At 43.8% G+C, this 24,028-nt stretch overlaps 1 protein-coding gene across 65 annotated transcripts in view, besides 3 other annotated features; it reads right to left on the bottom strand.

Annotated features, from left to right (window-relative positions):
• The window catches only part of WDR20 (WD repeat domain 20), an 85,417-nt gene that overhangs the window by 58,701 nt on the left and 2,688 nt on the right, over window positions 1–24,028 (bottom strand). The gene's annotated exons all lie outside the window — the stretch shown is intronic.
• Window positions 6,792–7,292: an enhancer, noted in NCBI's record as "H3K4me1 hESC enhancer chr14:102625184-102625684 (GRCh37/hg19 assembly coordinates)". NCBI's record gives its function as "activates a minimal SCP1, AML or CMV promoter by ChIP-STARR-seq in primed H9 embryonic stem cells {active_cell/tissue: H9 hESC(primed)}" and the evidence as "EXISTENCE:reporter gene assay evidence [ECO:0000049][PMID:30033119]".
• Window positions 8,475–9,391: an enhancer, noted in NCBI's record as "H3K4me1 hESC enhancer chr14:102623085-102624001 (GRCh37/hg19 assembly coordinates)". NCBI's record gives its function as "activates a minimal SCP1, AML or CMV promoter by ChIP-STARR-seq in primed H9 embryonic stem cells {active_cell/tissue: H9 hESC(primed)}" and the evidence as "EXISTENCE:reporter gene assay evidence [ECO:0000049][PMID:30033119]".
• Window positions 9,392–10,308: an enhancer, noted in NCBI's record as "H3K4me1 hESC enhancer chr14:102622168-102623084 (GRCh37/hg19 assembly coordinates)". NCBI's record gives its function as "activates a minimal SCP1, AML or CMV promoter by ChIP-STARR-seq in primed H9 embryonic stem cells {active_cell/tissue: H9 hESC(primed)}" and the evidence as "EXISTENCE:reporter gene assay evidence [ECO:0000049][PMID:30033119]".

Here is a 24,028-nt window from a genome sequence, read left to right as displayed (position 1 = left end):
AGTCCAATCTGGGGGTGAGAAGGGGGGTGGGGGATGGGGGAATCACTTGAGCCCAAGAGGCGAAGGTTGCAGTGAGCCGTGATGATGTCACTGTACTCCAGCCTGGGTGACCAAGTGAGACCCTGTCTTTAAAAAAAAGAAAATCACTTGCTTAGAACTCAAAGATTAAGGAGAGAATAAAAATGGAAATAACAAACTAGGCCTGGTCCAGTGGCTCATGCCGGTAATCCCAGCACTTCAGGAGGCCGAGGCAGGCAGACTGCTTGAGCCCAGGAGTTGGAGACCAGCCTGGGCAATATGATGAAACCCTGTCTCTACTAAAAAAAAATAAAAAATTAGCTAGGCATGGTGGCACGTGCCTGTAGTCCCAGCTACTTGGGAGGCTGAGGTGGGAGGATCACCTGAGCCTGGGAGGTCAAGGCTGCAGACAGTTGTGATCGAACCACTGCACTCCAGCCTGAGCAACAGAGTGAGACCCTGTCTCCAAAAAAAAAAAAAAAAAGAAAAGAAAAGAAAAAGAAACAAAAAATTAGGTCTTGACATGCTGAAGACTATTATTTAATACCACAATGATTATACCCACACAGCTAACATACAAGAAGCTCCTCAAACAACACTTAGAGGGAATGTTACAGCCTTGAGCCACCATTAAAAAGCAAGAAAGGATGAACACGTTTTCAATTCAGTAAGCTAGAAAAAGAACAGAGTAAACCTAAAGAAAGGAAATAAAGATGACATTCACAAAACAGAAAGCAGATACTAGCTGACTCTTTGAAAAAAATTTTAATTGACAAACTCTTATAAGTCTGTTCAAGAAAAAAATTAAAATATGAATGAAGGGGTGAAGCTAAAGCTGGTGACTGAACCCAGCAGCCACCCAAGCAGCAGCAGAAAAATGACAGTGCACAGGAGCTCTGGAGCTGAGGAGGGAGAGCCACAGTTCCACCCAAATATCACCACACCCATGACTGGAGCTGAGGAGGGGAGAGCCACAGTTCCACCCAAAAATGACCACACCCACGACTGGAAACAGGTGGTCCAGAAAGCAAAAGGCAACTGAGTGGGAAAAGGAACTGGCAAAAACCACTCTCAAGAAGGCAGATCTTAAGCTGCCAGTGGCAGAGACGGAACTCTGCCGGAGCATATGTCGTAGAAGTTTTAATTGCCCTAACAAACTAACTTGCGCTTTCACAGGAATACCTGCTGTATTAATTTATTGCAATAAATAGTTTTTCCTTTGGTGATGGAGAAAAGGCACAAGAAACAATTTTAGGAACAAAAAGGAAATATGACTTCTGATATAGCAGAAACTTATAATGGAAAAGAAAAGGGAAGAGGACTGAGCAATTAAAGAAATCCGATAGTTAAATTCTAGGTAGAGTAGAAAGAACTAGCAAAGGAGGTGAAGTACTGAGTGGGTCAAAAATGTATAAAAAAAAGTTGAGGTTAAAATGTCAAGACAAAGAATGTTTCAATAAAGAGAAGATGATCAATTGTGTCAAATGCTGCTGAGAGGTCAAGGAAGTTGTGGGCCAAGCGGTGTCCAATGGATCTGGCAACATGAAGTTGAGTCATCAGTATCCTGGAGAAATTAGAGCAGTGAGAAGCAAGGCCATATTGCAGTAGAAGGCTGTTTCTATCTGAATTAGCGATTTTGGAGCTAAACCATTTCAGCTGATGACAAGATCCCGCATGTCACTGTGGGAGAGAGTGCCAGAGGTGGACTAGAGGAGATTAGTAGGGTGGACATGGAAGCCAAGAAAGCTAGCACCAAGGTACTTCCTGGGTCATGTGATGAAGATGAAACCACCCAAGATGATGGCGGGAACTGGAGTGGAAAGGAAGGCTGTGAGTCAGGCACTGGAGTCTTCAATGATTAAAAGTGGCTGGGAAGTCAATATATGGCCATGAGGAAGAGAGAGAAAGGTGTCATGAGTCTAAGGGTAGAGGCTCCAAAGGGATGCCAGGAGTGGCAAATGGACCAAAGCCTGGTCTAATGTGGCACTTCCAGTGTATCAGTCAGGGTTCTGTGAAGCCCTTTCCAGCTCAACTTGTGAGATACTCTCTGAGCTCCCTGGCAAAGTCAGACTGCTGCCACATCAAGGAAAGCCCTGAGCACAACAGCCATCATTTTTAAATTAGCTGAGCTAATAATGCCTTCAGTCTTGCTAACTACGTGTACACCGATTCTATAATTTAAAGGGAGGAAAAAGGCAATGTAAGGAGTAGTGTAATTCTTGCAACTAATGGGAAAGAAGTAGAGACAGCAGCAAAGCCACCTGCTTCTGGAAGGGAGAGTGCAAGCATTTTCTCCAGGACACCAGGATAGGGAAAGCAAAACTTCCAAACAAAGCTAGTTTCAGGCAATGAAGACACTATGTAAAGCTTCCTTCTGGGTTATCCCAAAAGAATTCTAACAACATAAGATTGGAGGTTGTGACTGTCTTACTCCATTTTCTGCTGCTATTAACAGAATACCACAGACTAATTTTTTTTTTTTTTTTTTTTTTTGAGACAGAGTCTTGCTCTGTCACCCAGGCTGGAGTGCAGCGGCGCAATCTTGGCTCACTGTAGCCTCTGCCCACTGGGTTCCAGCAATTCTCCTGCCTCAGCCTCCTGGGTAGCCGGGATTACAGGCACACGCCACCACGCCTGGCTAATTTTTGTATTTTTGGTAGAGACACGGTTTCGCCATGTTGGCCAGGCTGGTCTCCAACTCCTGACCTCAGGTGATCCGCCCGCCTCGGCCTCACAAAGTGCTGGGATTACAGGCGTGAGCCACTGCACCTGGCCAGACTGAGTAATTTATAAACAAGTTTATTTGGCTCACGGTTCTGATGGCTGGGTACTCCAAGAATATGGCGCTGGTATCTGGTGGAAGTCATCCCATGGCAGAAGCAGAAGCAAGTGCCCAACACAGAGACAGGAAATTGGCCAACTTGTTTTTATGTCAAACCCAGTCTCATAATAACTAACCCACTCCCTCAATAATGGCATTAATCCATTCGTAAGGGCAGAGCCTTCATGATCTCATCAGCCCTTAAAGGCCCCATGTCAATTAAATCCTAAAATGAGTTTTGGTGGGAACAGATATTGAAATCATAGCAATGATTAATTTTGAAAAGCCTCTCAATCAATGCAAAAGGGCTAGCAAGCCTCTGTCTGTGAGTTCCAGTCACCAGCAGATAATTTTGGCTTGTGAAAGGGATTTTGAAAGATTATCTAAGGGCCTGGCAAGGTGGCTCACGCCTGTAATCCCAGCACTTTGGGAGGCTGAGGCAGGCAGATACCTTGAGTCCAGTAATTCAAGACCAGCCTGGGCTACACGGCAAAACCCTGTCTCTACAAAAAAACACAAAAATTAGCTGGGCATGGTGATACACACCTGTAGTCACAACTGTTTGGGAGACTGTGGGAGGCTGGCTTGAGCCCAGGAGGCAGAGGTTGCAGTGAGCTGAGATCACACTGCACTCCAGCCTGGGCAACAGAGCGAGAGAGTGTGAGAGGGCGAGAGAGCGTGAGAGAGCAAGAGAAAGAAAGAAAAAGAAAGAAAGAGAGAGAGAGAAAAAGAAAGAAAGATTATCTGATGTATTCAAGTGAGTCCTTGTTGGAGGACTATAATTTCAACAAATTAGTTCCAATTTTGTTCAACTTAAAAATGAACATAATGTGCCTACTACGTACAGGCACTTATTGATATGATCAATAAGATATGGTTTCTTCCCTCAAGATTCACAGTCCAGTAGGGTAAACAGAGATTCAAACAAAAAATTCCAATATTGTGTGAAAAGGTGGCAGCTCAATCATAGTAGTCAAACAGCAAGGGCAAAGGAAAGACAGGTTTAAACCACGAAACAGTACAATGCAGTCAAAGGTGCACTCAATGTGCCAATTCCAGTGTGTTGTATTCCCTGCTGTACCGGTTCTCCTATGAGCTTGTCTCGAGAAAAGAACTATGTCTATTACATCTGGGTCCCAAAACCTAGACCAGTGCAAGACCTCAGTGTAGTTTGCATTTCTTACTCGCTTATCCAATATCTACTTACAGATCATTCTCCTATCTACTATCTCATACCCCAACTCCAAAGTAGTCTCCAGAGCAATCAAGTTGTTGGGTAATCCAATCTCTTTGCTAAAGGTATGGGTTAGTAAAGACTGGGTTAACCAGTGCGTATTTCCTTGGCCGCAGGAATGGGCTGGTTAATCCAATTTGGAACAACAAGTCAAAGAAGGAGGTTTGGTAAAGGCTTCTATAAAATAAGCTTCCTTATTTTTATGACAGCCTGATTAGAAGAGCTGTTCATTCTCATCCTGGATATTAGCTCTCATTTTGGTCTATGTGGTACGGTGATGTGAAGCCTAACATTTCCACCACTGTTTTGCCACCTAAACCGGGCTGAAACACGGTAGAAAGCAGAACCAATGGAATCTCAGCAAAACGGAGCTGGCATCCCAATCAAACCATGCCTGAAGCCCACTGTACCTGTGGAATTTTCAGTGACATACACCAATACACCCCTTTAAAATTTAAACAGTTTGAATGGGTTTCCTGTTACTTGTAAACCACAACATTCCTAAGTATGCTAAATGCTAAAACACACTAGTGAACCCAGCATGGGCAATATGGCGAAACCCTGTCTATACAAAAAACACAAAAATTAAACGAGCACAGTGGCTCGAGCCTGTAGTCCCAGCTACTCAGGAGGCTGAGGTCAAAGAGTTGCTTGAGACCAGGAGGCTGAAGCTACAGTAAGCCATGATCGCACCGCTGCACTCCAGCCTGGGTGACAGAGAGAGATCCTGTCTTAAAAAAAAAAAAAAATAGCTGAGCATGGTGCTAGGCACCTGTAATTCCAGCTACTTGGGAGGCTGAGGCAGGAGGACTGCTTGAACCCGGGAGGCGGAGGTTGCAGTGAGCCAAGATTGTGCCACGGCACTCTAGCCTGGGCGACTGAGTGAGACTCTGCCTCAAAAAAAAAAAAAAAAAAAAAAAAAATATATATATATATATATATATGCAGTTATGCTTTGACCCAGTGTATCCACTGGAAATTTATCATACATGTGAGGTTAAATTTATCATACATGTGGAAATTTATCATACATGTGAGGAAATGATCCTCCTCTGGAAATTTATCATACATGTGAGGTTATTCACTGCAGCATTATTCTTTTTTTTTTTTTTTTTTTTGAGACAGAGTCTTGCCCTGTCACCCAGGCTGGAATGCAGTGGCGCGATCTCGGCTCACTGCAAGCTCCACTCGCTGGGTTCACGCCATTCTCCTGCCTCAGCCTCCCAAGTAGCTGGGAATACAGGTGCCTGCCACTACACCTGGCTAATTTTTTTTTTTTATATATTTAGTAGAGACGGGGTTTCACCGTGTTAGCCAGGATGGTCTTGATCTCCTGACCTTGTGATCCACCTGCCTCAGCCTCCCAAAGTGCTGGGATTATGGGCGTGAGCCACCGCGCCCGGCCATTATTCATATTTTTTAAAGGGATCATCAATCAATCAAGAGTGATGTCGTCAAATAAATTATGGTACATCCACAGCATGGAGTACAAAGCAATGACAAGAAAGAGTGAAGCTCTCTTTTACTAAAATGGAAAGATCTCCAATATAGATCATTAAGCAGAAAAAACAAGATGTAAAATACCATACACAGTATGTTCCCTCAATTCCTTCCCATCTCTGCTCAAATGTTGTCTTATTCGTGTAACAACAAAAGAATAAGTCAAAAACAAATAAAATATTATCTATAGTTAGAGGAAGGGAGCTAGGAGGGGGAAGGAGGACAGGACTAGAAGACAGACCTCTCTGAATATAACCTTGTTCTATATGCTGCAACCATGTAAATGTTCTGCATAACTGAAATATAAAATTAAATTTTAAAACCAATCTCTCCTGTTCTAAAACTAGACTACAGTGATAATTGTACAACTCAATAAATTACTAAAAATCATTCAATTGTACACTTAAAACAGATAGCAAGAAGAAATAATTTGAGCGCATTCAAGTTTTTTGTTTGTTTTTAGAGACAGGGTTTCGCTCTGTTACTCAGGGTGGAGTGCAGTGGTATGATCATAGCTCACTGAAGCGTTGAATTCCTGGGCTTAAGCCATCCTATCGCCTCAGCCTCCCAAGTAGCAGGACTACAGATGTGTACCACCATGCCTGGCTAGTTTTTAAATTTTTTGTAAAGACAGGGTCTCACAATGTTGCCCAGGCTGGTCTCAAATTCCTGGTCTTAAGTGATCCTCCCACCTCAGCCTCCCAAAACTGGATCAAGGTTTTTATTTTTTTGGAGACAGGCTCTTCCTCTGTTGCCTAGGCTGGAGTGCAGTGGCTTGATCTCGGTTCACTACAACCTCTGTCTCCCCAGCTCAAATGATCCTCCCACCTCAGCTTTCCAAGTAGCTGGGACTACAGGCACAGGTCACCACTCCTCGTTGATCTTTTCAAAAAATTTTAATAGAGATGAGGTCTGTTTTGCCCAGGCTGGTCTGGAACTCCTGAGATAAAGCAATCTGCCCACCTCAGCCTCCCAAAGTGTTGGGATTACCGGCGTGCGCCACCGCACCCAGCTGGATTAAGTTTTAAGAGGCGGTGAAACAATCAAAGAAAGCTAGTAAAGACCAGTGCCTCTTCAACTTTAGTGTGTACCTGAAACACTTGAGGATTGTCTTAGAATGCAGATTTAATTCAGTAAATGGGGCCAATATTCTGCACTTCCAACAGGCTCCCAGGTGACCGCTGATGATGCTGATGTAGCTCTGTGGATCACACTTTGAGGGCTGAGACAATTTAAACAACTAGAGGTGCTTTGCTCTAAGAAGTAGCTGAGAAATGGGCCAGCAGCAACTGGAGGCACATGACCCATAGAAAATGAGTGGGTGGGCTGGGTGCGGTGGCTCATGCCTGTCATCCCAGCACTTTGGGAGGATGAAGCAGGACCACTGGAGCCCAGGAGTTCAAGACCAGCCTGGGTAACATAGTGAGACTCCATCTCTACAAAAAATGTAAAAATTAGCCAGGGGTGTGGTGGTGCACCCTTTTAGTCCCAGCTACTTGGGAGTGTGAGGTGGGAGGATCGCTTGAGGCCAGGAGTTAAAGGTTGCGGTGAGCTTTGATCACATTACTACACTACAGTCTGGGTGACTGAGAGAGACCCTGCCTTAAAAAAAAAGAAAGAAAATGAGTGGGTGTCAGAAAGAGTCTCTCCCCCTGACAACTGTTTTAAAATGAGAGAAACAGCGACACGTTTGTAGGAAACAGAGAATACCGATTAGCCAAAATGAGGTGGGATTTAGCGAACGAGTCGGGGAGGTGACTTTAGACAGGGGCAGAGCTCTTCCTTAAAAATAGAAGGGAAGGCATCCGGTACAGACAGAAGCTGAGATGTGAGGGTAGAAATCTGGAGAAATTCTCTTTTGACTGTTTAATTGTTCTAAGTGAAATAAGAAGTACAGTCATCAACTAAGAATAAGGATAGGGAAGTAGGTTATTGAAGATCTGAGGACAAAGTTGTAAAATTGTCATCTAGGCTGGGCACAGTGGCTAATGCCTGTAATCTCAACACTTTGGGAGGCCAAGGTGGGCGGATCATAAGGTCAGGAGTTTGAGACCAGCCTGACCAACATGGTGAAACCCCGTCTCTATTTAAAATACAAAAATTAGCCAGGCGTGGTGGTACATGCCTGTAATCTCAGCTACTCAGGAGGCTGAGGCAGGGGAATCGCTTGAACCCAGGAGGCAGAGGTTGCAGTGAGCCAAGATCACGCCATTGCACTCCAGCCTGGGCAACAAGAGTGAGACTCCATCTTAAAAAAAAAAATTGTCATCTAGAAGGGTGGGGTCAGTGTGGTGCAACTGCTTGTCAGCACCATGCACCCCTCCAAGGTGATGGTTCTGAATCTTAGGGGAGTGTAGGCAGCACAGATGTGCTATCCTTCAACCACATGCAGGGCACACGTGCAGATGTGCAGTAGGCAGAGGATTCACTTTAGCCAAGACTGGGATCGAGTGTGTATACGAGGGGCGTTATAATGATTGCTCACTGCACTGGAACAGGGGTAATGCTTGAGACAGTGGCAGTGAGGCAGGGGCTGAAAACATTGAGAAAGGAAGGGAAGCGATAGCACCCCGAGACAGCACTGATACAATCTGATGACTTCAGCCCTAAAGGAGGACAATACACTAATGTAGTACATTACTTTGGAACTAGCACCAAAAGAAAATACATTTTAAGACACACTTTTTAAATCATACTAAGAATTCTAAAAGAGGCCAACATTTAAATGACCACCACTAAGGAAGATAATCCTACCCTCCCCAAGCCTTGCACAAGCTTCAGCCCTCACACTGCAGCTCACACTCCCAGAAGGAGCCAGCAGCTGCCACATCCTTAGGCCTTGAACTTCTAGTTCTCTTGGTTTAGAATCCCCTCCCCTTTCAGCTGACCCACCATCTGAATTCAAATGACACCTTATTAAATCTTCTCTAAAGTTCCTGCTGCAATTGAGACAAATATTACACTGTCATCACCTACTATCTGAACCAAATGGAACAGAGTCCACCTTGTGGAGTGGTTCTTGTATTCTGCCCTCTAGTTAGGGCAGCAAGAATGATCAGGAAGAAGAAAAATGAAGCAAAAAGCATGGCCAGCTTAGAATTCTAGATGAGCAACTGCTGAGTGAAAGTACCACAAGAGAGCTCTTCATGGAGCTAAAAGTTACACTTCACAGGACATAAGAAACTAGTCACCCTTCTTATATTCAATCACACATGAGATACTAAAGAAGTTAAGGGAAGACTTACCTAAATCAGGGTGCTTAAACTTTCTGTGCCATGGACTCCTTACAACTGTTTTTTGTTGTTTTAGAGACAGGGTTTCTGTTGCCCAGGCTGGAGTGCAGTGGTGTGACCATGACTCACTGCAGCCTCAACCTCCTGGGTTCAAGTGATCCTCCCACCTCAGCCTCTTGTAGCTGGGACAACAGGCACGTGCCACAATGCCCGATAATTTTTAAAAATTTTTTGCAGAGATGGGGGTCTCACAGTGTTGCCCAGGCTGGCCTCAAACTCTTGGCCTCAAACAATCCTCCCACCTCAGCCCCAATAATTTTTATTTTATTTATTTTTTATTTTGAGACGGAGTCTTGCTCTATCACCCAAGATGGAGTGCAACGGCGCGGATCTCCGCTCACTCAACCTCCGCCTCCCAGGTTCAAGCAATTCTCCTGCCTTAGCCTCCCAAGTTTCTGTGATTACAGGTGCCTGTTACCACGCCCAGCTAGTTTTTGTATTTTAAGAAGGGGTTTCACCATGTTGGTCAGGCTGGTCTCGAATTCCTGCCTCAGATAATCCGCCCACCTCAGCCTTCCAAAGTGCTAGGATTACAGGCATGAGCCACCGCACCTGGCCCCAATAGTTTTTAAATGCATAAATCTATAAAAGAAATCTATGGCCAGGCATGGTGGCTCAGACCTATAATCCCAGGACTCTGGGAGGCCAGAGCAGAAGGGTCACTTGAGCCCAGGAAGTCAAGGCTGCAGTGAGACCCGGTTTCCAAAAAAAAAAAATTCTACATTAAAGTACAGTTGTATTATACTAAATAACTATAACTTTTCAAAAATTTCTTAATTACATATTGAATAACAAGATCTAATGGGGCCAGGCGCAGTGGCTCACGCCTGCAATCCCAGCACTTTGGGAGGCCGAGGCGGGCAGATCACGAGGTCAGGAGATCGAGACCATCCTGGCTAACACGGCGAAACCCCATCTCTGCTAAAAACACAAAAAAATGAGCTGGACGTGGGGGTGGGTGCCTGTAGTCCCAGCTACTCGGGAGGCTGAGGCAGGAGAATGGCGTGAACCCGGGAGGTGGAGCTTGCAGTGAGCCGAGATCATGCCACTGCACTCCAGCCTGGGGCACAGACCAAGACTCCGTCTCAAAAAAAAAAAAAAGATCTAATGGTAATTTCAAAGTAGTGATGGATGTAAATGATATTTGACACACATGCAACAACCACAATGTGATATGAAAACATCTGTGGGCAGGGAGTGCTGCCTCTGCCTCATGCCTCTAATCCCAATGCTTTGGGAGGCCGAGGTGGGAGGTTCGCATGAGCCCAGGAATTCAACACCAGCCTAGGCTATAATATAGTGAGACTTTGTCTCCACAAAAAAAAAAAAAAAAAATTAAAAATTAGCCAAGCTTCATGTAGACCCATCTACCTGAGAAAGTCAGGTGGGAAGATCATTTGAGCCCGGGGATGGAGGTTGCAGTGAGCCCACATCACACCACTGCACTCCAGCCTGGGTGACAGGGAGACCCTCTCAAAAAAAAAAAAGGAAAAAATGTCTGTGATTTTCATTGATAATTGCCACAGGTCCCATTATTATTGTGATGTCTATATTCATAACTGAGGAACATGTTAAATGTCAGAAGTTAGTAAAATAAATAAATAAATTTTTTAAAGTGAAATATTTTTCCCATTCAGGCTACCCTCTAAATTCTAGTCAGGCTAAGGAGCCCTAATGAGTCAATGCTGTCTAATAGAGCAGACATAGTCTGCACATCTACAAAGGGATGGAAAATGCTGAGCTCCTATATCTGCTTTCCCTTCTCCCCAGAGTCTCTTCAACCTTTGAAAATTCCCACACTGCTCTCCCAGTAATCTCTCTCTGGTCTCTCTAAGGCTGCTCTCCTTTCCCCATTCTTACCCAGTTCCCCCTTATCCTTGCAGGGCTCCAGATGAAAGAAAACAGCAGTCAATTAGCAAGTCACATGTGAGAGATAGTAGAATGAGTCAGTTGCAGCCCTTTGGTATATCCTTGTATAACTAAAAGAAATATCTTACATTTGACAGTACCTTACCATTTCTGAAAGAGTGTTTATATAATTATCTCACTAATCCTAAAAAAACAGTGAAGTAGGCAGGACAGATATTCTCATCTCTATTTACAAAAAATGAAACCCGAGGCTCTGAGAGGTTAAACAACCTGCTCAAAGTCACACAGATCATCGTACAAAAGGCAAAATATGCACTGTTGGAGCAATCTCAACCTCTAAAAAGGCTCCAAACATGAGTTGGTCTATTTTAAACTCAGAACTGCTGGGATGGCAGCTTCAGGTTAATGCAGGGAGTAAAAGCTGGACAAAGTCACAAGTCTTTGTCCTATCAATTATTAATAATCCTATCAATTATTATCTATGTCCTTGAATCCATTTCTTCTTCCATAAAGTAGGAACAATAACAATAAATGACTGCCTGACCTTACCTCCCATAAAGCTCAACTAAAGTGCTCTATGTAAATGCTTTATAGACTGTGAAGTTATCATTCTCACCAATAATCAAGGATAGCATACAAACAAAAAGGCAACAAAGTATACACTCATTTATTCATTCAATAAATATTTCAGTGCCTGCAACATGCCAAGCACTGTTCTAGGTACCGAACAGGGGATACAATGATGAATAAGACAGAAAGGCTTATTCATGCTCTCAGGAAGCTTATGTTCAATAAGGAAGGTGAAAGAGACAGACAAATGCATACATAAGTAAACATGACAATACCAGTGCTATGGTCTGAATGTTTGTGTCCCCTCAAAATTCATTTGTTGAAACCTCATCAGCAATGTGATAATATCAGGAGGTAGGGGCTTCTGGGTGATTAGATCATGGTGGTGTGGCTCCCATGGATGGGACTGGTGCCCTTATAAAAGAGGTCCCACAGAGCTGCCTTCCCCCTCCACCATGTGAGGACACAGTGAGTAGACACCAACCAGAAAGAGAGCCCTCACCAGATAATGAATCCGCCAACACCTTCATCTTGACTTCCCAGACTCCAGAACTGTGAGAAATACACTTCTGTTCTTTACAGGCTACCTAATCTATGGTATTGTGTTACAGTAGTCTGAGAGACTAAGACAACCAGTAGTAAGTAGTATATGAAAGATTTTTTCTTTTTTTGAGACAGGGTCTTGCTCTGTAACACAGGCTGGAATGCAGTAGCATGAGCACAGCTCACTGCAACCTCAAACTCCTATGCTCAAGAGATCCTCCCATCTCAGTCTCCCCTGGAACTACAGGTGCGTGCTACCACATCTAGCTCATTTAAAAAAATTTTTAACATAGTGAGACAAGGTCTCAAACTCTGGGCCTCAAGCAATCCTCCTGCTTCAGCATCCCAAAGTGCTGGGATTATAGGCATGAGCCACTGTACCCAGACAAAGGGTATTTAAAAGAGTGATATTACTGAAGGTGGCCAATAGCTACCACAAATCGATGGTCAAGAGTAGGTTCTCTGATGGATGGTGACATTTCAGCTGTGATCTAAACAGCAAGAAGGAGCCAGCAATGCATAAAATAAGGGAGGTGAGCATTCCTAGTAGAGGAAGCAGTTAGTATAAAGAGGTTCTAGGGAGGGCACAAGTTGTACTAGCAAATCTCATCTAGCAGTGTATTAGGCTGTTCTTCCATTGCTACAAGGAAATACCTGAGACTGGGTAATTTATAAAGAAAGAGGTGGCCGGGCGCGGTGGCTCACGCCTGTAATCCCAGCACTTTTGGAGGCTGAGGCGGGCAGATCATGAGGTTAGGAAATCGAGACCATCCTGGCTAACATGGTGAAACCCCATCTCTACTAAAAATACAAAAAATTAGCCAGGCGTGGTGGTGGGCGCCTGTAATCCCAGCTACTCCAGAGGCTGAGGCAGGAGAATGGCGTGAACCCAGGAGGCGGAGCTTGCAGTGAGCCGAGATCACACTGCTGCACTCCAGCCTGGGTGACAGAGCAAGACTCCATCTCAAAAAAAAAAAAAAAAAGAAAGAGGTTTCACTGGCTCATGGTTCTGCAACCTCTACAGGAAGCATAGTGCTGCCATCTACTCAGCTTCTAGTGAGGCCTCAAGAAGCTTTCAATCATGGCAGAAGGTGAAGGGGGGGCAGGCACTTCACATGGAGAAAGAAGGTGCAAGAGGGAGACAAGGAAGTGCCACACACACTTTTAAACAGCCAGTTCTGGAGAGAACTCGTACTCACTAGCGTGAGGGCAGCACCAAGTAGATGGTGCTAAACCATTCCTGAGAAATCCACCCCTTGATCTAATCACCTCCCACCAGGCCCCACCTCCAATACTAGGGATTACTAATCAACATGAGATTTGGGCAGGGACCAGAGCTCCCAATGAGACTCCTAGTCCTGTGCTTACTGACAATATAAGTCCCTAGCTTATTGTTAAGCACTCTGGTTCTAGGGTTGAACAGAACTGGATTCAAACCCCAGGACAATGGCTTATTAGTTTTATAACCTATGCAAAGTATCCAGTTGCTACAAATCTCATTTTCTCACCTGTAAAATAAGGATACTAATAGTGTCTACTTTATAAGATTATTTGCAAAGATTTAACGAGATCATGGGGCCAGGTACGGTGGCTCACGCCTATAATCCCAGCACTTTGGAAGGCTGAGGCAGGTGGATCATATGAGGGCAAGAGATCCAGGCCATCCTGACCAACATGGTGAAACCCCGTCTGTAGTAAAAATACGAAAATTGGCCGGGCATGGTGGCACACGCCTATAGTCCCAGCTACTCGGGAGTCTGAGGCAGGAGAGTTGCTTGAACCTGGGAGGCGGAGGCTGCAGTGAGCCGAGATCACCCCACTGTACTCCAGCCTGGTGACAGAGCAAGACTCTGTCTCAAAAAAAAAAAAAGAGAGACCCTGCATAATCTGTTAGCACAATATCCATAATTATCCATAATCCACACTATTATTAACATGATTAATATGTTATTAATAATGTCAGCTATTACTATTATTATGTGATCTCTTAAATCTTGCTGTCTTTCTTATCAATACTTCCAGGGATGTTCAGATCATTTCTTTATATCCGAGAGGAAGAAAAAGAGTACTCATGGGCCAGGGTTCAGTGGCTCACACCTATAATCCTACCACTGTGGGAGGCTGTGATGGGAGGATGATATCAGGTCAGGAGTCCAAGACCAGCCTGGGCAACATGGTGAAACCCTGTCTCTATAAAAAAATACAGAAATTAGCCGGGCATGGTGCCTATAGTCCCAGATACTCAGGAGGCTGAAGTGGGAAGACCCCTTGATCCCAGGAAGCGGAGGTTGCAGTGAGTTGAGATCGTGCCAGTGCACTCCAGCCTGGGCAACAGAGCGAGACCGACCCTGTGTCCAAAAACAAAAAAAGTAAAAATTAGCCAGGTGGGTGTGGGTGGTAGCATGCTCCTATAGACTCAGCTACTTGGAAGGCTGAGGCAGGAGGATTATTTGGGCCCAGAAGGTTGAGGCTGCAGTGAGCCATGATTGTGTCACTGCACTCCAGCCTAGGTGACAAAGTGAAATCTTGTTTCATTAAAAAAAAAAAGAAAAAGGAAAAGAAAAGAGTACCCATGTCATATCTCTTCTATAAAATATTTCCTGGCCCAGCATGGTGGTTCATGCCTATAATCCCAACATTTTGGGAGGCCAAGGAAGGAAGATCGTTTGAACCCAGGCAAGACCAACCCAGACAACACAGCAAGACCTCGTCTCTACCAAAAAAAAAATTAGCCAGGCGTGGTGGTGCACACCTGTAGTCCCAGCTACATGGGAGGCTAAGGTGGGAGGATGGCTTCAGCCCAGGAGTTCAAGGCTGCAGTGAGCTATGATTGAGCCACTGCACTCCAGCCTGGGCTACAAAGTGAGACCCTGTCTCAAAAAAACAAAAACAAAAACAAAAACAAAAAAACACCTCCTAATTACTTTTTAGCCTACTATTTCCCACTCTCAGGAATCACATCAGTATCAGTCATAGTTCGTTTTTTGACAGAAAAGCTCGTGTAAGAGGCCTAGGCACAGGCCTTGGGTTTAACATCAGGCTCTACTGTAGCCCTTCATTATCCGTGGACACACTACAATCTCTCCAATGACAAAAAAAAAAAAAAAAAAAAAAAAATTCCCCAATGGATGGTTTTGAAGAGAAAATAAAAAGGCTATAAACTTTAAAGAGTTATGCATTTATCCTCTCACCAACTGTACACAGCACCTATTAATAGGCAATGTTCAGTTCTGAATGCCTTTTAGCAGCTGCCTTATCATTGCTGGTTTACTTATCTGTCTCACCACTAGACTGTAGGCACTTTGGGCCAGGGACTATGTCTTATTTATCTTTGGATCCACAGGTCCAATAAATGTTAGTTGAATGAATAAGCCCTTGATTATTCCATTGGACTGTGAACTCTTTGACAGCAGAGATTCTTAACAATATAGAGCAGGCACTCAGTAAGTCCTCTTAGAATGAGTGTGTGAATATCATGTCCGTCCTTGGTTAGATGATACTCTTAAGGTCAGGGCCCATACCTCATACTTCTTTGATTTCCCAAAGTCTGGCATACTGCTTTTCACACAAAAACTACTCAAATATTTATTAAATGAAATATTAAGGCAAGACAGAGCTCTAAAGCAGAGATCCAAGTAAGTAAAGAGAATGAGCACCTGTACAAGTTTTACTGTAGCAGAACAAAAAAGGGTAGTAAAAGGGTAAGCTGGCTGTGAGTCAACTAAAGAAAAAAACAGCTTCATGGCAGAGCAATAATCTACAATGCGGTAACTAAGATGTTAAAATATTCCCTCTTACTGAATTATTCTTACTTTTTTTTGAGATGGTCTCATTCTGTCGCTGAGGCTGGAGTGCAGTGGCTCAATCACAGTGCAGCCTCGACCTCCCCACCCTGGGCTCAAGCAATCCTCTTACCTCGGCCCCGAGTAGCTGGGACTACAGGCGCACACCACCACACTCAGCTAATTTTTAATTTTTGTAGAGATGGGGTCTCACTATGTTGTCCAGGCTTGTTTCCAACTCCTAGCCTCAAGAAATCCTCCCACCTCAGCCTCCCAACGTGCTAGGATTACAGGCGTGATGTAATCCTATGCCAGGCCTGATTCTTACTTTGTAAATATAAAATCCTTATAAATTCCTTCCTCATGAATGATTCTTGCTTCTTTCTTATAAAACCTATATATTTAAGCTATTTTCCTATTGATACAAAGCAAGATAAGCTGTAACACAAACTGATTTGGCATGTTTTTAGAATAATATATCTACTTTTTAAAAATCTACTACAAAATAGAATCGACGTCTGGGTGCGGTGGCTCATGCCTGTAATCCCAGCACTTTGGGAGGCCAAGGCGGGTGGATCACGAGGTGAGGAGTTAAGAGACCAGCCTGGCCAATACAGTGAAACCCCATCTCTACTAAAAAATACAAAAATTAGCCGGGCGTGGTGGCATGTGCCTGCAGTCCCAGCCACTCTGGAGTCTGAGGCAGAGAACTGCTTGAACCCAGGAGGCAGAGGTTGCAGTGTGCTGAGATCGAGCCACTGCACTCCAGCCTGGGCGACAGAGTGAGACTCCGTCTCAAATAAATAAATAAATAAAATAGAATTGATGACACAAAATATTTCTCAATTTACAAATTACCAACTGGCAGAGAAGCTGAAAAGTTGAGAAAAATGCTAAAAGAGCAGTGGACATCTTACGCTCAATCAGAAATAAAAATAAAGCATTTCTGAAATTAGAAATACAAGGCAACAAATTTAAAAATTTATAAAAAATATGATCTGCACACAACATTTTAGGGCAAATTATCTATTTGAAACCCAATGCAATATTCTTCTACTAGGCAGAGAAATACTTTTCCACTTCACCTTTACTCCTTAATTCCACTTGATACTTACATTGCTATGCCACATGCAGAGCACATATCCTCTACTTTGTATTATAATGATAAATACAAAATCAGCCGGGAACAATGGCTCACATCTGTAATCCCAGCACTTTGGGAGCACAAGGCAAAAGCATCACTTGAGCCCAGGAGTTCAAGGTCAGACTAGGCAACACAGCAAGACCCAGTCTCTACAAAAGAAAAAAATGTATTTATGTATGTATTTTTTGTTTGTTTGTTTTGTTTTGAGAGAGTCTCACTCTGTCGCCCAGGCTGGAGTGCAGTGGCACGATCTCAGCTCACTGCAAGCGCCACCTCCCGGGTTCAAGTATTCTCCTGCCTCAGCCTTCCGAGTAGCTGCGACTACAGGCACCCGCCACCACACCCAGCTAAATTTTTTTGTATTTTTAGTAGAGAGGGGGTGTCGCTGTGTTAGCCAGGACGGTCTCAAACTCCTGACCTCGTGATCCGCCCGCCTCGGCCTCCCAAAGTGCAGGGATTACAAGCGTGAGCCACCGCGCCTGGCCTACAAAAAATTTTTTAAAAATTATCCAGGCACAGTGGCACATGCCTGTAGTCCCAATTACTCAGGAGGCTGAGGCGGGAGGATCACTTGAGCCCAGGAGGTTGAAGCTGCAGTGAGCTATGATTGTGCCACTGCCCTCCAGCCTAGGTGACACAGTGAGACCCTGTTCCAAACACACACACACACACACACACACACACACACACACACAAAGCCAAACTCTTTAAAGACAGGAGTGTTAAATACACTTCACATCCGCCACAATAGACAGCAGTGCCTTGTATATACCAGTCATCAATAAATGCTTGATGAATGAGGATTATGATTTTTTTTTTTTTTTGAGACAGAGTCTCAGCTCTGTCACCCAGGCTGGAGTCCAGTGGCACAATTTCCGCTCACTGCAGCCTCAACCTCCCAGGCTCCAGCAATTCTCCCACCTAAGCCACCTGAATAGCTGGGGCCACAGGCGTGCACCACCACACCTGGCTAATTTTTTCTTGTAGAGATGAGCTCTCACTATGTTGCCCTGGCTGGTCTCAAACTCCTGGGGCTCAACCAATCCTCCTGCCTCGGTCTCCTAAAATACTGGGATTAAGGGCAAGAGCCAAGGTAACTTGTCACTGATGCTGTCAATTTCAAGTGTCCTGAAAATTAAAACTGAAGTCTACCAATTAGAAATGTCTACCAATTAAGGTTACTTCTATTTTTAAGGTCTTCTCCTGAATAACCAAACAAGATCACATTTCATATTACTGCACAAACTAACCTCACTGAGAAACAAACAGAATTATTCTCTGAGATACTAAATTCCAGACGACAAAAATCTTCCTATTTTTAAAACAAGGTTCTTGGCCAGGCGTAGTAGCCCACGCCTGTAATCCCAGCACTTTGGGAGGCCCAGGCAGGTGGATCACCTGAGGTCAGGAGTTCAAGGCCAGCCTGGCCAACATGGGGAAACCCCGTCTCTACTAAAAAGACAAAAATTAGCTGGGTGTGGTGGCAGGTGCCTGTAATCCCAGTTACTCGGGAGGCTGAGGCCTGCGAATGGCTTGAACCCGGGAGGCAGAGGTTGCAGTGAACCAAGATCATGCCATTGCACTCCAGCCTGGGGAATAGAGTGAGACTCTGTCTCCAAAACTAAAACTAAAACTAAAATAAAATAAAACAAGGTTCTTTAGCCATACAGCCAAACCACTCAGTGACAAAATCCACCATGTTTTGATGCTTGCTCAAGCTCAAGTTTGCCATCAAAGCACTTTACCCTTAAGTCACTATATTAAGTCAATGATAATAAATATCGTATAAGTGACACATTTCTTGAGGGCAGAGACTCTGACTACACCCAGCATCTAAAACAGTACCTCATATCTGGTAGGCATACTCCATGAATATTTGCTGAAAGAATGGCATTCATGACTATCTCACGGACTTCCATGACATATTCCAGGTGCTTCTCACCATTGCTCATATCTACCCATGAAGTCCTCCTTTTTTGGGAAGGTCTCGCTTTGTTGCCCAGGCTGGAGTGCACTGGCACGATCTTGGCTCACTGCAACCTCCACCTCCTGGGTTCAAGTGATTCTCCTGCCTCCTGAGTAGCTGGGATTACAGGCATGCGCCACCATACTTGGCTAATTTTTGTATTTTTAGTAGAGATGTGGTTTCCCCGTGTTGGCCAGGCTGGTCTTGAACTCCTAACCCCAGATGATCCACCCGCCTCAGCCTCCCAAAGTGCTGGGATTACAAGCCACCCATGCAATCTTTCAATATCTCATGACCACCCTCCTCTTCAAAGCCAAGAGAACCCAGGTATAGTATGAAAGTATCTCCTGCTTTAAATGATACATTAAGATGCTTTCCCCTCAGTATGCAAAATTCTAAAGTCAAATAAATCATCAATATTTCAGAAGTCAGCAAATAGCCCTTAATGGAAAAGAAACACAAGTTTCCAGTCATTCAGCAACCCTCTGTGACCTACTAAATTAAGTACAAGATTTCTCAAAGTAAATCTAATACAAAAAGTTACAGACTTCTAAACCTCTTTCTAAATTATAAAAGGGGAGCCAGGGAGGTGTGAAAAATTACAAAAGGGGAGAATGGTGTGAACATGACCCTCTCTGAAGCAGTAAAATATCTAAAACAAGTCTGTGGGGGGGAAATTTTTTTTAAAGGCATCTAGTTCACCCTCCCACACAAAGCAGGAATTCCTCCAATGTCACCAACAGGTGGTCCTGCAGTTTTTGACAAAGAGACAGAACATTTCCCATATGAGCATTCCCATAACAGAACGCTCATTCTCTCTCAAGTCAACCCATTACCTTCTTCTTTAATCAGGATCTAAAAATACTTTAGCTTTTATCAACTGACTCTTCTTCTGGCCCCAACTTCATCTCAGCATCATGAACATAAAGCTCTTCTAGCCGGGCATGGTGATTCACACCTGTAATCCCAGCACTTTGAGAGGCCGAGACGGGTGGATCACAAGGTCAGGAGTTCAAGACCAGCCTGGCCAAGATGCTGAAACCCTGTCTCTACTAAATATACAAAAATTAGCTGGGCATGGTGGCAAGTGCCTGTAATCCCAGCTACTTCGGAGGCTGAGGCAGGAGAATCGCTTAAAACCCGGGTGCCAGAGGTCACAGTGAGCCAAGATCAAGCCACTGCACTCCAGCCTGGGCGACAGAGCAAGACTTCGTCTCAAAAACAAACAAACAAACAAACAAACAAAAAAACTCTTCCAGCATAAATACCTAGAAATCACAATGTTTTCAGCTTGCTTTCCCAAACACCCCACCCCTCTCAATTCCAAATCAAGTAGGCAATGAATCAAAGAGATGAAGATACCTCCCCAATAGAATGATGAATCCATTTCCATTTAAAAAAAAAAAAAACAACTGAGTACAGAATCATATAAGCTTTAGAGATGGAAAAACCTTAGAATCCTCTAAATCTACTTCCTACCTCCTGTAGTTACCACTTCAGTAACTTCTCTGGGCAGTACATTTGTGACCTGGAATCTTAAGATGTGGGAAGGTAGGAAGGTTCTTTGGCTTGAATGTTAAGTAATTCTGAGTATAGTTTTTGTTTATTATTGATTGTTTTGTTTTTTTGAAACAGGCTCTCACTCTCTTGCCCGGGCTGGAGTGCAGTGGCACGATTACAGCTCACTGCAGCCTCAACCTCCCCAGTTCAAGTGACCCTTCTACCTCAGCCTTCCAAGTAGGTGGGACTAGAGGCACATGACACCACGCCCACCCTTGTAGAGACAGGGTTTCACTATGTTGTCCAGGCTGGTCTCGAACCCACACGAGGTTTCACTGTGTTGCCCAGGCTGGACCCCTGCAATCCTCCCGCCTTGGCCTCCCAAAAGTGTTAGGATTATAGGTATGAGCCACCACTCCTGGCCTGAGAACAGTTTTTAAAAGTTGTACATGGATCTTGTAGGTGACATGGTTTGACAGAAGTAGATCAAAAGTAATCTGTGTCATTTGTTTACTATTACTTCATTGTCTCTTACACGATTTCCCTATTTTAAGAAGGTTAAATTTTTTACCTACTAGCAATATTTTTAAATGTCTTTTAAAAGATATGAGCTATTAAAAAATACCCAAGTTACTTTTGGGCCCAAAACTGAATAGGTTTTTCATCTTCTAAAGATCTCTTTCAAGTTTGGTATAGACAGACATGGCTTTACTCAGTCATTCACTCAACAAGTACACAGCAAGGGCCTAACTCTAAACTGGACACTGCACTGTGCATTGAGAAGATGGAGAGCAGGAAAGATAATGTCCCTATTCTAAGGGAGCTTTGTTTTATAGAAGGCACAGTTGGATCATCACACAGAATTACAAATTCAGAAAAGTGCTAGGAAGGCAAAGCACAAGATGCTCTAAGAACATAGAGCCTGTAATCCCAGTGCTTTGGGAGGCTGAGGCAGGTGAATCACTTGAGGCCAGGAGTTCAAGACCAGCCTGGCCAACATGGCAAAACCCCGTCTCTATTAAAATACAAAAATGAGCTGGGCATGGTGGCACATGCCTGTAATCCCAGCTACTCGGGAGTAGCCCAAGAATCACTTGGGCCCGGGCGGCAGAGGTTGCAGTGAGCCAAGATCACATCACTGCACTCCAGCCTGGGCAACAGAGCAAGATTCTGTCTCAAAAACAAAAAAAAAAACAAAACAAAAAAACATGTAATAGGGTAAAACTGATACACCATGGGGATTCAAAGAAAAATTTCCTGAGGAAGTGATGGTTAAGCTGAGATCTGAATGGAGGCCATTCATATTTATGTAAAAACAGATGTCCATAAAATGAGAGGATTGGTCCAATAAGCCCAGCTACCTTACCTTTGGCATCTTTTATCCTACATCCTAAAACAATCTTTTTTTTTTTTTTTTGAGACAGAGTCTAGCTCTGTCGCCCAGGCTGGAGTGCGGTGGTATGATCTTGGCTCACTGCAACCTCCGACTCCAGGGTTCAAGTGATTCTCCTGCCTCGGCCTCCCGAGTAGCTGGGACTATAGGCAAGCACCACCACGCCCAGCTAATTTTGTATTTTTAGTAGAGATGGGGTTTTACCATGTTGGCCAGGCTGGTCTCAAACTCCTGACCTCAGGTCATCTACCTGCCTCGGCCTCCCAAAGCGCTGAGATTACAGGTGTGAGCCATGGCGCATAGCCCCACTCCCCTTTTTTGTTGTTTTAAAGAAAGGGTCTCATTCTGTTGCCCAGGTTGGGGTACAGTGGCACAATCATAGCTCACTGTAACCTTAACTCTTCGGCTCAAGAGCCCTCCTCGCTTCCCAAGTAGCTGTGACTACAGGCACATACCACCATGGCCAGCTAATTTTTTTTTTATTATTTTTTTGTGGACACAGGGTATTGATATATTATCCAGGCTGGTCTCAAACTCCTGGGCTCAAGCGATCCTCCCACCTCAGTCTCCCAAAGTGCTGGGATTACAGGTATGAGCCACTGCACCCGACCACAATCTCTTTTTTTAAAAAAGGAGAACAAAGTATGTAATAAAGATGTTTACGGCCGGGCGCAGTGGCTCACGCCTGTAATCCCAGCACTTTGGAAGGCCGAGGAGGGTGGATCACGAGGTCAGGAGTTCGAGACCAGCCTGGCCAATATGATGAAACCCCATCTCTACCAAAAATACAAAAATTAGCTGGGCGTGGTGGTACGCACCTGTAGTCCCAGCTGCTCGGGAGGCTGAGGGAGGAGAATCGCTTGAACCTAGGAGGCAGAGGTTGCAGTGAGCCGAGATTGTGCCACTGCACTCCACCCTGGGTGACAGAGCTAGACTTTGTCTCAAAAAAAAAAAAAAGATGTTTAAAAGCTAGTAGTTGAAAGTCTTTTGGGGAGAGGGACAGGGTCTTATTTAGCTCTGAATACCTCACATCACCTTGCCTGGTATTATTACTATCACAGTAGTCACTCAAATCTGGTAAAATGATTAGTGTCAGTATTAAATCAATGTTAATACTGTCTTTAAATAAATTTGCAAAACTACATCTCCTCACACAAGAAACCCCACTCTAAACTTCCTCGATTGTGAAAAGATGTTTTAATCTACCTCAAGAATTTAATAAAATAATATATGGCAAAATGCCGGGGTAGATTCTGAAGTGCTCGGAGTATATAATATCCCTGTGATCAAAAAGGTGGATCAGTCTCTTCTAAGCTGGTTTAGACTCAGCTGTGCTTCATTTTCCTTACTATGAGAAAAAATTCTAACAGGTTTGCATCCCCTCTCTGGCCTTGGTTCGCTCTGAGGAGGGTGAAATAACAAACTCTAAAGTTCCTTCTAGCTCCAGACACTGACCTGTAAACCTTTTAAAAGGATCAAGATTGCACTCCTCAGCATGAACGTTAGACTACTTCCTCACCTACTCCATTTCCCCAGGACCCCATGTTTCCTCTCAGGAATGGTAGCACGTAATTAATGAGTTAAGTTCTTTAAAAGACCTATTTTCTACTCATTTTACACACAGACTTAAGTTGAATTTACTCATCTAAATTAGATCTTCTGAATAATCCAAATAATTATTGTAAAATTTTACACGCCTCAAAGGACCAAAAAAAAAAAAAAAAAAAAAAAGTCAAAACAGCCAACTGTGCGCTGGGCATGGTGGGTCACACCTATAATCTCAGCACTTTAGCAGGCTGAGGTGGGAGGATCGCTTGAGGCCAGGAGTTCAAGACCAGCCTGGGCAACACGGCAAGACCTCCATCTCTAAAAAACATTTTTTTTTTTAATTAGCCAGGGTGGTGCACACCTGTAGTTCCAGCCACTAGGAAGGCTGAAGTGGGAAGATCATTTGAGCCCAGGAGTTTGAGGCTGTAGTGAACGATGAGCACGCCACCGCACTCCAGCCTAGGCAACAGGATGAGATCCTGTCTCTAAAAACAAAAACAAAAACATGTTTAATAGCCAACTGTCAAAAATATGTTTGTAACTACTAACTCTAAAAAGTAAATTTTGGTTTTCCAATTAAGGAAAATGTATTTCCTATATTTTAAATCAGAAAATAGTCATAAAAAGTCACTTATACTCAGAAATAACAACAAATAAATGCCAACTCATTCATGGAAAAAAATGTTTAAGTTACAATTAAAAGAGAGTAGAAACATCTGCAACACAATGCAAATGTATCTACAAGATACTACCACATGAAAATGAAATTTTACCCAAAAAGCGTTAAAACACTCAAATTATGCAGGTAAGGGCAATTTACGTATTTCACATTTATCTTGTTTAAAAT

The sequence above is a fragment of the Homo sapiens genome, chromosome 14 (genome assembly GCF_000001405.40).
Source record: "Homo sapiens chromosome 14, GRCh38.p14 Primary Assembly".
NCBI classification, from domain to species: domain Eukaryota; kingdom Metazoa; phylum Chordata; class Mammalia; order Primates; family Hominidae; genus Homo; species Homo sapiens.
This window is presented reverse-complemented; position numbering and strand designations above follow the sequence as displayed.